At 38.3% G+C, this 15,122-nt stretch overlaps 2 pseudogenes; one reads left to right on the forward strand and one right to left on the reverse strand.

The window, feature by feature from the left end:
• GSTA8P (glutathione S-transferase alpha 8, pseudogene) lies at window positions 1,222-10,392 on the reverse strand (annotated as a pseudogene).
• SREK1IP1P2 (SREK1IP1 pseudogene 2) lies at window positions 1,938-2,275 on the forward strand (annotated as a pseudogene).

Here is a 15,122-nt window from a genome sequence, read left to right on the forward strand (position 1 = left end):
TTTTCTCTCTGAAAGAGTAACGATTCTGAAACAAACTGATTTTGTTTCAAATTACCACTTTATTTTTAGGCATAGTTATAACTTTTAATGTCCAAGGCACTTTTAGGGCCCAAATTGAACATCGGGAGACCTGAATCCCAGCCCAATTCTTCCACCCACTTGATGCTCTTTGGAAGGTCATTTCCTTTTCCTCTGACTCAGTTTCTCATTCTTAAGGAGGAATTGAACTAAATGATCAACCCTTTAGAGCTCTAAAAATCTACAGTTCCTATCCTGTTGGTTATGTGCAGTGGTGTCATACTTCAAACCCTTTCTTTAAGTGAAAGCGTAGGGTCCTCAACTGATAACGGCAGAGTTCATATGGTTCTGTTAGATTGGTTACCTTTCCCAACTGACTTTCAAGGAGGTTGTTAAACTTTCAGTGATAAGTAATTCAATTAAGGGAAGAAAAAAGCTGTACCAGTTGAACCGAATAGGAAATCTAGATAAAATTATTTGATGTACTTAAAAAAATCCCAATTTAAAGAAGAAGAAAGAAAATCCCATAAATCCTAATGGTGGCAAAGAGGTTGTTACCACAGGCAAGGCTGGAAAAAGCCGTCATCATTGAGGTGCTCTGCTCACTTGCTAGCTGTCAGAGATGACTGAGGAGAACCTTCAGATTCAGACTGACAGCAGCTTATAGTCAAAACTGATTACGATACTGAAGTAGAAACTAACTGTGAAATTGATCCTAGAAATACATGCTGTGTCTGCAGAATACTCTAGTGATTCAAAGTTTAAGAAACTGGTTTGAAGCTATGCTGTTCCCTGGACTTTTCCCAAAAGGTCATAGAAGTGAATGATAGTGATGTGTGTGCTTTTTTTGTTTTGTTTTTAAAGAAATCTTTGGCATCCATTTGCATATTTGTGATTTTACTCTTTTGCAATACGTAGAATCCAGAAGGATTCATATTTGGATGGCTCTGATTAATTGGTGTTTTCTTGTTTTATGAAAAGTAGAAGAGGCTCTGTAACTTACAGGTATTAGGCAGTTTATTTCCTCATGTCTTATTACTTTATTACATTAATGTGGCTTTATGATATTTTTATGGGTCTGCTACCAATGCATAGTGAAATATTTACTACGTTTCTTAGACTTTGTTTCATTTGTTAATACTCAGCTACTGTAGTGCTCATGTTTTTAAGAAACAGGCCATGTTCAAATTTAAATATATTCTTCACAGTCTCAATGGATTCTTCATCCAGTGGAGGCTTCCTTTGGCTTCCAGGTTGGAGAAATTTATTAATTGTGGGGATGTGGCTGATTCTGGCCTTGAATTTCTAAAATGCAAAAGAATACTATCCAAGAGAGAAGAATATAACAAAACAAAGTAAAATGCAAATGAGCCACATTCTGGTGGAGGTGGGGGATAATTGGGATTTTCATACATTGTGGACATTGCAAAGTGATACTGCCACTTTGCAAGTTAGCAATATTTCTCAAGAACCACAAAAACGTTCATAGGCTGTTACGAAGTGATTCCATTTTAAAAATTGTGTCCTAATGATGTAATCTTAAATGTGGAAAAATCTATACCTACAAAGATATTGTTGCAACACTATTTATAAAAACAAACATTCTAAAGCATCCTGGTATACAATAAAGAGAAGTCCTCATTTTTCTTATACCAGAAGCATTTTTCATGTTATGTAATCTTTGAAAACTTTAAGTGGCTGCATAGAATTCTATCCAATGAACATATCCTCATTTATATAGATGTTTCTCAGTTTAATATTAGACATTTAAGTTGTTTATGATTTTCACTATTTAAAATCAGGTTAGGCTGTGGCATGGGTGAAAGTGGCCACTTTGGCGGTGCCTCGTCCTCACAGCTAATGGGAAGCAAGCGTGTTCTAGAAAGCCAGAGTCTCCAGCGACCCCTCTTACCACCATCATGGCAGTCCCAGGTTGCAACAAGGACAGTGTCAGAGCAGGCTGTAAAAAATATGGCTTCCTGGTCACCTGACTTTTGAATGCTGCAACTTTCTCCAAGTAGACCCCAAAGGGACATAGTTTTGGATGTCAGCAGTGCAAACAGTGAAGATTGATGAATAAAATGAAGAATGAATAAATTGCAAGCATTACTGGAAAAAAAGAATAAATGAAGAGGAGAAGAAAAAGCAAAGAGAAAAGCAATTTTTTTAAAAAAGGAAAAGGTCTTATTCATCCAGTTCCACTGAAAAGGACATTTCAAAAGAAACAAAAATATCAGAACAAAGAAAAGAAAAAAAAAGCTGGGTGTGGTGGCTCACACCTGTAATTCCAGCACTTTGGGAGGCTGAGGTGGGTGGATCACGAGGTCAGGAGTTTGAGACCAGCCTGGCCGACATAGTGAAACCCTGTCTCTATTAAAAATACAGGAAAAAAAAAAAACTAGCCGGGCATAGTGGCAGGTGCCTGTAATCCAAGCTACTTGGGAGGCTGAGGCAGGAGAATCACTTGAACCTGGGAGGTGGAGGTTGCAGTGAGCCGAGACCACACCACTGCACTCCAGCCTGGGCAATAGAGCAAGACTCCATCTCAAAGAAAAAAAAAAAAAGAAAAAGTAAATCAAAAAAAGGAAGCCAGGTGCAGTGGCTCACACCTGTAATCCCAGCACTTTGGAAGGCAGAGGCAGGCGATCACCTGAGGTCGGGAGTTCAAGACCAGCCTGGCCAACATAGTGAAACCCGTCTCTACTAAAAATACAAAAATTAGCCAGGCATGGTGGTGTGCACCTGTAGTCACAGCTACTCGGGAGGCTGAGGCAGGAGAATCGCTTGAATCCGGGAGGCAGAGGTTGCAGTGAGCCGAGATCGTGCCACTGTACTCCAGCTTGGGGAACAGAGCGAGACTTGCATTTCAAAAAAAAAAGAAACAGAAAAAAAGAAAAGCATTCTTCAACCCCTACTTGTTATGAATCCTCCAAAAAGTAACTGAGGCTTTGGCTTAAGCCATTAAATTTAAAGATTTGTTTAAAAATTATTTGCCCTTCCTTGGAATTTGCTATATATTATGCTTTGCAATAAATCACAGCCTTTTCTATATAGACATTTTTGATGTGTGGGACCATTATCCCTCTGGCAATATATTTTTAATGTGCTATGACTGTAAAGTATTAAATCAGTCTTGTTACTTGATAGCCATGCCCCAAGTATAGCTATTTGTACATACTAAACATATCATTTTTGATGTTTGTGTCTCTGTGTTTGGCTGGTGTTATTACTTCCTAAGTTGATTGTAAAATGGCTTTACTACAGTCAACACAGTTCATCTACCTAGCAGTTAATGAGTATTGCTCAATCAGGTGTCCACCTTCTAGTGATGAAGCGAGGTATGGGGTAATATTTCACTCTTGACACTGAAAAATTTAATAGCTTTATAAGATGTAATATATAAAGATAGTGAAATTCTTTACTGTTGTTTTTTAAGTCTCGGGTTTTTTTTTAATATAGAAGATGAAGCTGCTTAATGGTCTTGACTAGGACTTTTAAAATGAATGGTGTCTGCGGAAAGATGATCATGAAAACATTTAAACAAAGTTTCATTGTTTTATGAAATGCAGAGTTTCTAGTATCTGCCTCCTTTGTTTTTGTAACAATTAAAATATTTCTTTCTTGTTAAAAAAGGTTATTCTGAACACAATAAATGGAATATACATATAATCAAGAAAAGTTTCAAAAATAGACTACATTGTAAAGAAATGAGGCAGACTAACAATGTTAAAACATGTTTATAATGTAATATGGGTCAGGTGCAGTGGCTCATGCCTGTAATCGCAGCACTTTGGGAGGCTGAGGCAGGAGGATCATTTGAGCCCAGGAGTTCAAGACATCTGCTTTCTCTTATCATGTTACGTTTTAGTTTACCACATTATATTGAAGTTACCGGTCTGTATGCTTGGTTTCACCAGGAGATAGCTGCCTTGAGGGCATCTTTGTATTTCTAGCACAGGCCTTGGCATAAAGAAGTTAGTAGGTTCATAAATGATGGTGAATGACTGAATGAAAGAATAAGTGGATAATACAAATTCATTCTCCCTGCAGTTCTTGGGAGCTATTTGGATAGCATTACCTGTAGCAGAGGAAAGCCCAAGAGGACACTGGGTTTGCACTCTTCAGTCATTAAGATGACTTCAGGTTGCTGTGTATCAGCCCAGCTCAGCCGATTGCCCACAAGAAAATCTTGTCTGTGGTCTCTCAGTGCCTGCATGATGGTTAATAAGGAAAAGGTAGAAGATGAAGGACACACCTAACATATAATTTAAAGTCAGCTTGATTTGGCAGAAAGTCTTCTAGAAGTTAAGAGACCTGGCTTCTAATCTGTTCTTTGCCACTGACTAGCTGTGTGAGCTCACGCAAACCCCATTTCTCTTGGGCTTCGTGAGGTGAAAGGAATGGAATAGCTTAAACCCTCCTGACTTATTCTGAACATAGGAAACAGCTTTATCTCATGTGCTTGTCTTCTTTTCATCTCCTCTCCCTGTAGCTATCCCGTGAACCTCTGTAGAGTGATTTTAGCACCGACCCTCCATTGGTGGCTCTTCCTGGGCTGATGGTATTTCTACTTGCACCATCTCAGGGTGGATTCTTGAGGTGTGCTGCTCTTCGGAAGGTACTGTGTTTGCAGGGAGAGTGTCATTCTCAGAGGGACCCAACCCTCATTTTTATAAGCGAATTTTCTTCAAATAGGGCTGTAAATTATGGGTCACTTTGAGTCAAAATTGATCAAATACAAAATGAAATGTAAGTTTGGAGGAGGTGGTCACTAAGGTACATTCTAGGCCATAGACTTCATGATGTTTTGATACTTGGGCATAGGATCAGGACCTAGAGAGACCTGAGTACAGGTTCCAGCTTTATTAGTTGTATGACACTGGGCAGGTTACGTTGCTTCTTTAAGATATAGTTGCTTCACCTGTAAATGAGGAAATAATTTATCCTTATTTACAGATGAAGCAACCACATAGTATCTTGTGGAGTTATTATAAAGATTAAATGGATTAATGCATGCGAATCATATAGCACAGCACTTGGCACTCAGTAAAGGTGAGCCATTATTATTATTAGCACTGTTGTTAGTGCAGTTACAGTCACATTTTTAGTTATGAGAAGTCTGCACTTCATAGTATCTTACAACAAAAACTTCATGCATTAGTTTACCACATGGTGGTGGTAAACATTCACTCTGTTGTCAGTATTTGTATGGTAAAAGATCTTAAGTTACATGCTGATTACAAAGGAATACATTATCTTTGAAACACTTTTGAAGGAAACAGTATGGGGAAAACCTGGGGGTTTAGAATATTCACAATTTGATCCAGTTGGAGCTAGGAACTCACCAGGTATAATTAAGGGAAAAGTCTAACCGAGGAAGTTAGGGTATCTGTCATCTATGCCAAATACATAAGTATCAACTAGATAATCTATGTTACATGATTAGGCTCTAAAACTGTTGATCATGATAAATATATTCAAATACATGTATTAAATCATTTAATGAGAACTATTGTTATTCAACCCAAAAAGGATAGGTTAAAACAGCATGGCAGGTGAGTTTGAAAAACTTAACTGGCTCTTTTTTCTTTGTTTTTACCAAGCCCTAACATTTTTCATCATCTTTTCCTAGACTTACTAATATTATAATGACTGCACCTGGAGATGAAGAGCATTAATAACTAAAGAAGGCATCCAACCCTGACCAAGTGCAAGCTTTCAGACAGCATTTTACAGCTGTTAAAAATGCAGAGACATGAACGCTCAAGTATTATGTTTAAAACAATTTTTTAACTTTTAGAATACTGCTTAGAATTCTAACCTTACAAACAGCCCTGAACCCCAGGACTGTCCAGTGTATTTTAGAAATAATATCCATCCCCTCTCCCCCAGCTCTTTCATTAGTGTGGGATTTCCTCCCTTAGAATCAGGTAACTGAAATTCTATCAGCACCAGAACCACAAATAGTGCTGAAATTATGCATAAAATAAAAAAAAATCCAGAAGACCAGGGTGTGAGGAAGGAGAGCAGATTTGTTGTCTAACTGCAAGTGGGGGAAGAATTTTGAGCTTTCGCAAAGGGTTTGGAAACCTTTATTGATAAAATTCTTTGTCTATTTTTAGTTTCATTTGTTTTTCTCCCCCTTGATTCAAGTCATAAAGCAGGGCAGGAGTTTGTTGCTTACCTTCTCACAGACAGGGAATAATCTTGTAGTGGCTCTTTCAAGGATGTATGCAAGATTCATCTTCTCTTCAGGCAGAGAGAGTGGCTGGAACATAATCATGTCACTCAGGTCCTTCAAGCCTTCTACATACATGTGAATCCTAGAAAAAGGGTGTTAATTCAAAAAAGAGTTACAGATAAAGGGAACTGTCATTTAATGGGCCAAAGAAACATTTTAAGTAGTGCCTCTGTTTTACCTGCTTAGTTATCAGGTGTTTTCATGGAACATTGTTCCAGGAACTGAAGCCAGGTGTTTTCAGAGGCATGCTGTTCCTTTGAAATATTAGGGAAGATGCATCTGGGAGATAGAAAAGTTGTAGGATCAAAGTGTGTGAGCAATTATATGTGTGTGACTATCAATTATGTAACACTAGTGTTAATAAAATACATATACACAAAGTATTAAAATAATCCCAAAACAGCAAATTGGGCAAATATCATTTATGGCTATTTAGTTGTTGTAATAATAGTGAGATCACCCATGCTGCTACTGGTGATGCATGTGGAAGAAGAGGTAATAAGGGCCTCTGCACTGCCAAACACATCTCCATCTGGATTGAAGGTTCTCAAACATAGTAGAGCAATTTCATAGAAGACAAAACTTACTCCACAAGTTCCCACTTGCCACCACCCACATCTCTGTGCCAAAGTGTATGGAAACATGGATGTTATGTTTGACAAGACACCATGACGTAGTGAGACTACTGGTGTGGGCCTTGGGAAACTTTGGTCTGGGTCCAAGATGAGTCTCTTATTAATCTTTTTGAACCACAGTTCCTTTAACTTTAAGCTACAGTAGCAGTGCATGTCTTGAAATGGACTCAGATTCTTTGCTACTTCTCCTATTGAGAGTAAGTTTCATTCTCCCCTTGAATCTGAGTGGGCCTTGGAGACTTGCTTGGCCAATAGAATGTGAGAAGTAATGTCCTTAGACTTGTATATCTAGGACATAAGCCTCACAGCTTCCACGGGGTTCTCTTGGAACATTTGCTCAGAGGCCAACCAGCTACTACGTACAAAGTCCAACTACACTGAGAACCTCATGCCATGTGGAAGCCCAAGCTAGTCCTGTGAAGAAGGCACGTAGAGAGAGACCGATGCCCCACTAGGCCCATATGGTCCAGCTATATGGCAGATGCACTTGATAGCAATACCCTGATAATGGTCCTATGGTCTAAGAAGAATGTGTGTTTGGAGTTCCAAGCTAAGGAATCCAGGAGTGGCCAACCTCTAGATTCATTCCTTATCTATGAGGAGCATCTGAACCCCTGGCCCATCCCATGGTGTGCAGGCCATGCAAGGGATTGAGGCCCTTTGTTCTGGGTTACATAAAGGTTGCCAGGTGGAGGTTGCAAGGGAGAGGGTGCTAAGTGAAAATGCTATATAACCAGCATGCTTTTTACAAATGGTAGTGGTTCTCCTGTCGAGCCTGCCACCACTGGACCGTGTTGTATGTAAGTCCCCTCAATAAATCCCAAGTCTTGTTTGCTGGCTCTAGGTCTCTTCTTCAGACTCTCAAACATGGTGCCATCCCTATTGAAGTCAATAGGGATCTGGCATGACAGCAGCCCTCCCAACACAAGTTCCAGACACATGAGTAAAGCACTCCATGAGAGACTTGGAGAGAACCACCCAGCTGAGCCCTGTCAACTCAGCACCGTGAGAGATCATATTCTATAGCAACAGATAACCAGAAGAGTACTATTCTGAACATTAGGATTGTTGTGGGTTTATACAGTTGAAAGAGTTTTAAAATACAAAGTTTCTAACATGTATGAGGTTTTATCACAATACTATACCAATGAAAGCACTAATAGTAAATAATTCATTTTCAGTTTATATGAAAGATCTATTTAAAAACTGTTTTTCATTAAAAGGAACCAGAGCTTCTTAGAGAAATGACTGAGTCCAGTTCTGGAGCAGGAGATGTTCAGAATTAATTGGGATTATCATCTTATACCAGATAATAAGGAAGTTATCAGAGATCACTCAGGTCAGACCAAAAATTCCCATTGGCTCCCATTGGCCAAAGGTGGGACAATTTGAGCATAAATAAGAATGATACCTGAAGTGAACTGAAACACATCAAAGATGTTTTAAATTGATGAGTTCATAATGATATGAAAACAACACTAATTAACTGGTCACTGCAAATGAAACAACTCATTATTTGGAAAATTGGTAAACAAAGGGAAAGAATCAAGCATCAGTCTTGAAAACTGTATGTCCAAGTAACCAGATAGTAGATGAAAGGAAGTTTTTTCTTTCCTTTTTTTTTTTTGCGATAGAGTCTCGCTCTGTTGACCAGGCTGGAGTGCAGTGGCACAAACTCAGCTCACTGCAACTTCTGCCTCCTGGGTTCAAGTGACTCAGCCTCTCGATTAGCTGGTATTACAGGTGAGCACCACCATGCCCAGCTAATTTTTGTATTTTTAGTAGAGACAGGGTTTTGCCATATTGGCCAGGTTGGTCTCAAACTCCTGGTCTCATGTGATCCACCTGCCTCTGCCTCCCAAAGTGCTAGGATAACAGGCATGAACCACCATTCCTGACCCTTGTTTTTCTTTTTTGATCTTTTATTTTTCTTGTTAGCCCTTTTGTTGTGTTAGCAAAAGGTTTTCTTTATAGAAATATTTCAGGCCGAGCACGGTGGCTCATGCCTGTAATCCCAGCACTTTGGGAGGCTGAGGCAGGCGGATCACGAGGTCAGGAGTTCAAGACCAGCCTGGCCAACACGGTGAAACCCTGTCTCTACTAAAAATACAAAAATCAGCTGGACGTGGTGGTGTGTGCCTGTAATCCCAGCTACTCGGGAGGCTGAGGCAGGAGAATTGCTTGAACCGGGACCCGGGAGGCGGAAGTTGCAGTGAGCCAAGATCGCTCCACTGCACTACAGCCTGGGCTACAGAGTGAGACTCCGTCTCAAAAAAAAAAAAAAAAGAACATTTCAGGTAATAGATGCAGAAGGAATGTTAGCCCTGAACATCAATGGCTACTGATATCATAAAGAATACACAACGACACTGAAAGTAGCCTTGCAAAACCGACTAGAACCTGAATCTGATAAAGCCTCTAAACCCAGCTACCAATTTATAAAAATACAGAGACAGGGGAACATGTTAAACTACACTGCAGGGATGTAATTTGGTTTCAGCAGAAATTTGGTTTCTAAGTCAGTGAGAAACTACTAGAAAGTAAGGGAAAACTTTTGTTGAGATTTCAAAATACGAGATCAATTTAAAAATGTTTACTACATTGAAATGTTTAAAGCTAAGTTTCTGAAAACACATGCATTTTTGAAATAAAACAATGGCTTCAGAAATTTATTTAAAACACATCTCATTTAGTAAAGATGGATTATTTGTTGTTTACCAATTAATGGTTTTCTAATTCTGTGCAATAATTTACAATTTAGGGTTGCTGTTAAAAACCCCAGGTAAGATAAGACTATTTTGTCAGTTTGTAGATAGGTCTGCCTATTGTAAAAGGACTGATGTCTGCACAAGGGAATTAACTAATGTCTGGGAGGCCAGGGGGCAGATATTGGTGTGACCAGAGATTAATGAAGTAGTTTCCAACAACCACTTCTAGAATCAATTGCGTGGGGATAGAATGCTCCTCCTCCGAAAATTTTGGGTCTGTGTTCTGGTGATTTACTCTGTGTGCCACTTCCACCTTGTGGAGGGAAACACAAATTCACAAGAAAGTGGTAGATGTACTCTACTAACGTCTTTGCTTTAGTAAATAAATAATACATAACTAATAAAGAGCTAAACATAGAATCAGAAAATTAAAGAAACTGTTTAATTGGCCATGAATTAGTCATTGTCGAAGGTAAATTTTGTACATAGGGTTTATTATACTAGTCTCTCTCCTTTGATATGTTAGATTTTGCTACAATAAAAAGTTAACCAGAGAAGAGCTTTGTATTAATCTGTCAAGAATTATGCTACACATGACTGCTAATAAGCTTAAAACTTTTTTTTTAAGTTTTATTCTAAGAAAGAAGCGATTGTTGTACCAGGCTTGTTCCTTCATGTTCCTTCCATACAAGTCATATTTTGCAGCTATGTATCTTAGGAAGGCTCTGGTTTCTACCTAATTCATTCCATGAGTTTCGACCATGGGCACTTGTCCATACATCAGGGTTCCACCTTAAAATACACAAAGGAAAGTTGGGTTATTTATTGTCTGTGATAATAATAACTGTTTTCTTTAAAGGTGGTACAAAATGGAACTATGTAATCAAATATTTTTAGAGGCCAAGTAAAAGGAGAAATATTTACCCATTCACTCATACAAAAATGTGTAGAGTGCAAGAAAATGATGTTGAGTACTCTGGTAGGCACAAAGCTTTCTGTCTGACCAAGAATTGTCCTTTCTCATTCCTTACTCTCCTTTCCTATGGTCACCCTCTTTTTACCTCTGGACTACCACGACATTTATCTACCCAACATGCTCTGCCTGGTTGTTTTTCTGAAGCCATAAGCCTCTGCCTAAAACCTTTCTGTTATTCCCCATTTTCTTATAGGAAAATAAGCATACATATTTTAACTGCCTGGAATTCAAAGCATGTCTTGACATTTGCCTCCCTGCACCTTCTTCTGCACATGGTTTCCCACCGTTCTCCTACATCAACCTTCCATGTCCTACCCCTCCCTTCTTGGAATCCCAGTGATCTCCCTTCTGGCTGACAGCTCTCTGCTTTGGGCTTACTTTTTCAATCTTCCCAAGGAATATTTGCATTAAAACCAACCAACCAATCAACCAACCAGCCAACCAACTGTAACTAGAGAGAACAACCGTTTAATTTAAAAGACTGGAGGGACTTTCTCTCTTTCTCTCTCTCTGCCTCAGAATGGCAACAGTAAGGCTGGCTCTGCCCTTTTCCCATTTAACACCTGAAGTTGAGGCAGTTCTCCTTTCCATTGTTTCAGGGTCTAGCTGGGAGACAGAACCACATCAGGTACTTTAGCACAGAACATTAAATATAAAGGAATGAATTATATCTTGGAGAACTGAAAACAACAAAGGAACAGTGCAGTATCATGAAGTTGGCAACTGTGAAAGCAGACATTATCCCTAGGGCAACAAAAACAAAGGAAGGGGGTTGGAATTATGACAGCTTAGAAGCTTGGAGGCAGGGCTCCTCCTAGTTGCAAGATCCAAGCACTACCTTCCTTATATGGAGATAGGATATGGATAGATACTATTTACATAATTTTCACTGCTCTTATTTAGAATATGAGAGAGAGAGAGAGAGAGAGCCTTTCATATTAATGGAGAGACCATCTCATCTCTTTGGTCTAATGCAACATCACGAATAACAAGGCGTTTATCTCACCTTGGATTAATTTCTCAAATTCTTCGTCTGTTTCAAAAAGGTTTTCTTCAAATTGAAAAATGAAAGAATATAAGAATATGTTGCTATTAACATTTTTATTGTTATTACTGTTGATATCACAGAAAGGAATAGAAAGTAAAAGGCCTAACCACCAAATAAACCAATATTTCAAGTAAGTTGTTGAACCCATGCTGTCGTTTTCTGGATCTTACGAAAGCAAGGAAGTTTTTATATAAAACCAAAGCAAAGGGTTTACTGAACTCAGTTGATTGAGAAATATCTATAGTCTACTATTGTGCAGATATAACTTGCCTGGTAAACTTTTCAGCCGCAATTTGAATGCAGGCTACTCCCCTTAATTGGCTCAGATAAGTTACTCTCTTCTAATTTCAGTTTCCTAACATGTGAAATGAAGCTAATACCTACTGGTGGTGCTGTCATGATGGTTAAATGACATGATGTATAGTAAAGACTAACTCCCATCTTGGCTCAGTATTTGACCTTTGTTATTTTTTTTCTCATAACTTTCCCTTGGGTGGTGTTTGTTACCCCTTATTCCTAGTGCTAAAGAACAGGCAAATATTTGATTGTCTCATTACATACCTTCTCTTTAAGCCAAAGAGGCTTAGACATAGGAATTAAGTTGCAGCTAATCTTAGAAGTTACTTGGTAACAATCTAATAATAAAACAAAATTAACTTAAAAGATCCTTTGTTGCATATTTAAAGAAACATAAATCAAGCTATCTTTTCTTACCACTCACAAGAGTTTTTAATCAGTGTTATTGTTAGATTGTTACCAATTAACTTCTGGATACTTTCGCTTTAAAATACATTTACCAATTAAATGTGTGCATTTTGTATAGCATAATTTTAACATAAAATTGAAATACAATTAGTTTTCCTGTATTATTAATATTTTCTAGCATAGAGATGTAAAAACCCAACAAAAACTGGAAAATATTATTTTTCCCAGATTGTATTCTATCCGTTTTACAATAAAAAATAATTTGAAATGTTAAATTTTACAATTTGGAGTAATAAAAAATATTCAGAGAAGATGCTAATACATAGCTTCCTGGTCATAATTCCTAAGTACTTAATGTTAAATAGTGTTAAACCTTGATGTCCTATCACTCTCATTCCTATACCTGAAGACCAGCATTAACTTCAACTCTCAAACACAAGAGTAAGAGACATTTCAGTCTCAGGGAATTCTGCCATTTTTATAAGACAAAGAAGATGGATGTAAAGCTCTCTTCCCCTTATTTATTTAAAAATATTTTCAATATTATTGCAGAAGTGCTAAAACTCATTGTAGAAAAATTAGAAAATACGGATAAAAATTTTCAGCCACCCATATTGGCCTTTCTCTAAAAATGAGCAGATGTTTAGTAGACATATTATTTTCCTTATGACTATGTCTTAATGAACAGAAATGTGGCATTCAGAAGTAGAAATTGGATGCTTACTAAATTTAAAAATAATCTGTATGCAAGGGTAGAGTGTGAGTGTGAATATGGGGAGGGAGTTCGTCTTTATCCCCTCTGCTCTTTGTTTTTGCAAAATAAGTTCTCTCTGGGTCTGCTTTACAATCCCCAGTACTAGATGTTTTCTCTTCACTACCTTCGATGCTCCAAAACACTTCCATGTTTCAGAGAGTTGGTGGGTCTCTTTCTCTCTCTCATATTTTCACCAGGAAAAAAGGAAAGGCAGCAGCTGACATTATAATATTGGAGCTCTTCTTAACCAAAGCTTCCTTTGGATGCTTAGGAAGCCTAGAGAGGTCAAGTGACTTGCCTAAAGTCTTTCAGCTAAATGGTAGAAGAACCAGAGCTAGGTTGCCCTCTCACCAAGCCTACTACATCTTCAATATTATCATCTTGGTAAATGTGTAATTTTATGTAAATAATTATTATAAAAGGAAGTCATCATATTCCAAAGTTAACAAATATGAGAATATGGACAGTGATTACCAAGGTATAAAACAAAGCTTTCCAAAAAGCAGCATTTTTTTCCTAAACATGCTTTACTTTACTTATTTTTTCCTAAGCACTATTTACTTACAACTTACAATATTTATGAAGTGTGATGAAAAATGCATACATTTGTGATTTCAGTTTCTCCTACAATTTTTCATGTCAGGAACTCTGAGGTAACTTAGGCTATCTGATCCGGCGAGTCTCCAAGAATCAGAGAGGCAGAGCTCAATCTCCAATTCCAACAAGGGCTTTACCAGGGTAAGCCCTGAGAGGAGGTGGGCAGACCGCGGGAGGGTGGCAGGTTGGAGGGAGAGGTAGGGTTGTGGGAAATAGGAGGCAGTCCAGCCTGCTGGCATTCACAGTTCTAGGTCTGGACATGAAACTATATGGGGTACATCCAGATTTCTCAGACTAGATACTATCTGAAGAATTTTCTGCTACGTTTTGATTGAGTTTCGCCGGATCACACCAAAGAGGTTTCGCTCCTGAACTTTTAAAAATCTTCAATTTTATCTTTTGCTTAAAGGCTAATTGTGTGAGGAGCTGTGTTAGGTACAGCAGGGGCTCCAAAGACAAGCAAAGCACAGCCATTTCAGCAAAATTGTAAATCTTAGAGCATAATTATTAAACTTTTGAAAATTTACTCTGACTCATAACACAAGGAAATTTCAGGCACAGGAGGTGGCTATTGGCTACGGTCATGTGCTACATAATATTTCAGTCAACCATGGACTGCTTATACAATGAGATTATAATACTATATTTTTACTGTAACTTTTCTATGTTTAGATACACAAATACTTTTTTTTTTTTTGAGACACAGTTTCACTCTTGTTGCCCAGGCTGGAGTGCAATGGCATGATCTTGGCTCACTGCAACCTCCGCCTCTCGGGTTCAAGCAATTCTCCTGCCTCAGCCTCCCAAGTAACTGAGATTACAGGAATGCGCCATCATGCCCAGCTAATTTTGTATTTTTAGTAGAGACAGGGTTTCTCCATGTTGGTCAGGCTGGTCTCAAACTCCCAAACTCAGGTGATCCACCCACCTCAACCTCCCAAAGTCCTGGAATTACAGGTGTGAGCCACCTCAACCGGCCTCACAAATACTTATTATTGCATTACAGTTTCCTACAGTATTCACTACAGTAACATGCTGTTCAGGTTTGTAGCCTAATAGTAATAGACTGTACCATAAAGCCCAGGTGTGTAGCAGTCTTTACATCCGGGTTTGGGAGAATAACCTCTATGTTGCTCACATGACAAAATTACCTAATTATATATTTCTCAGAATGTATCCCATTGTTAAGTAATGCATGACTGTCTAGAATTTCCATCTAACTCTGACAAACCATAATAATACCAACCCTAAGTCTAAAAAATGGTGAGGAATCAGAAGATCCAATAAAGAGCTTCATATAGCTCAGAAAAGAGAATTGGCCTTTTATTGTTTTGTAAAAATTAGGTCATCAGAAGAAGCAATGACAAATTCAGCTTTTTAAAAAATTACACTAAAAATATTTAATGCCCTCCAAAGATACTGGAGTGTTTTTGATAGGTA

Source organism: Homo sapiens, chromosome 6 (assembly GCF_000001405.40).
Source record: "Homo sapiens chromosome 6, GRCh38.p14 Primary Assembly".
Classification (NCBI taxonomy): domain Eukaryota; kingdom Metazoa; phylum Chordata; class Mammalia; order Primates; family Hominidae; genus Homo; species Homo sapiens.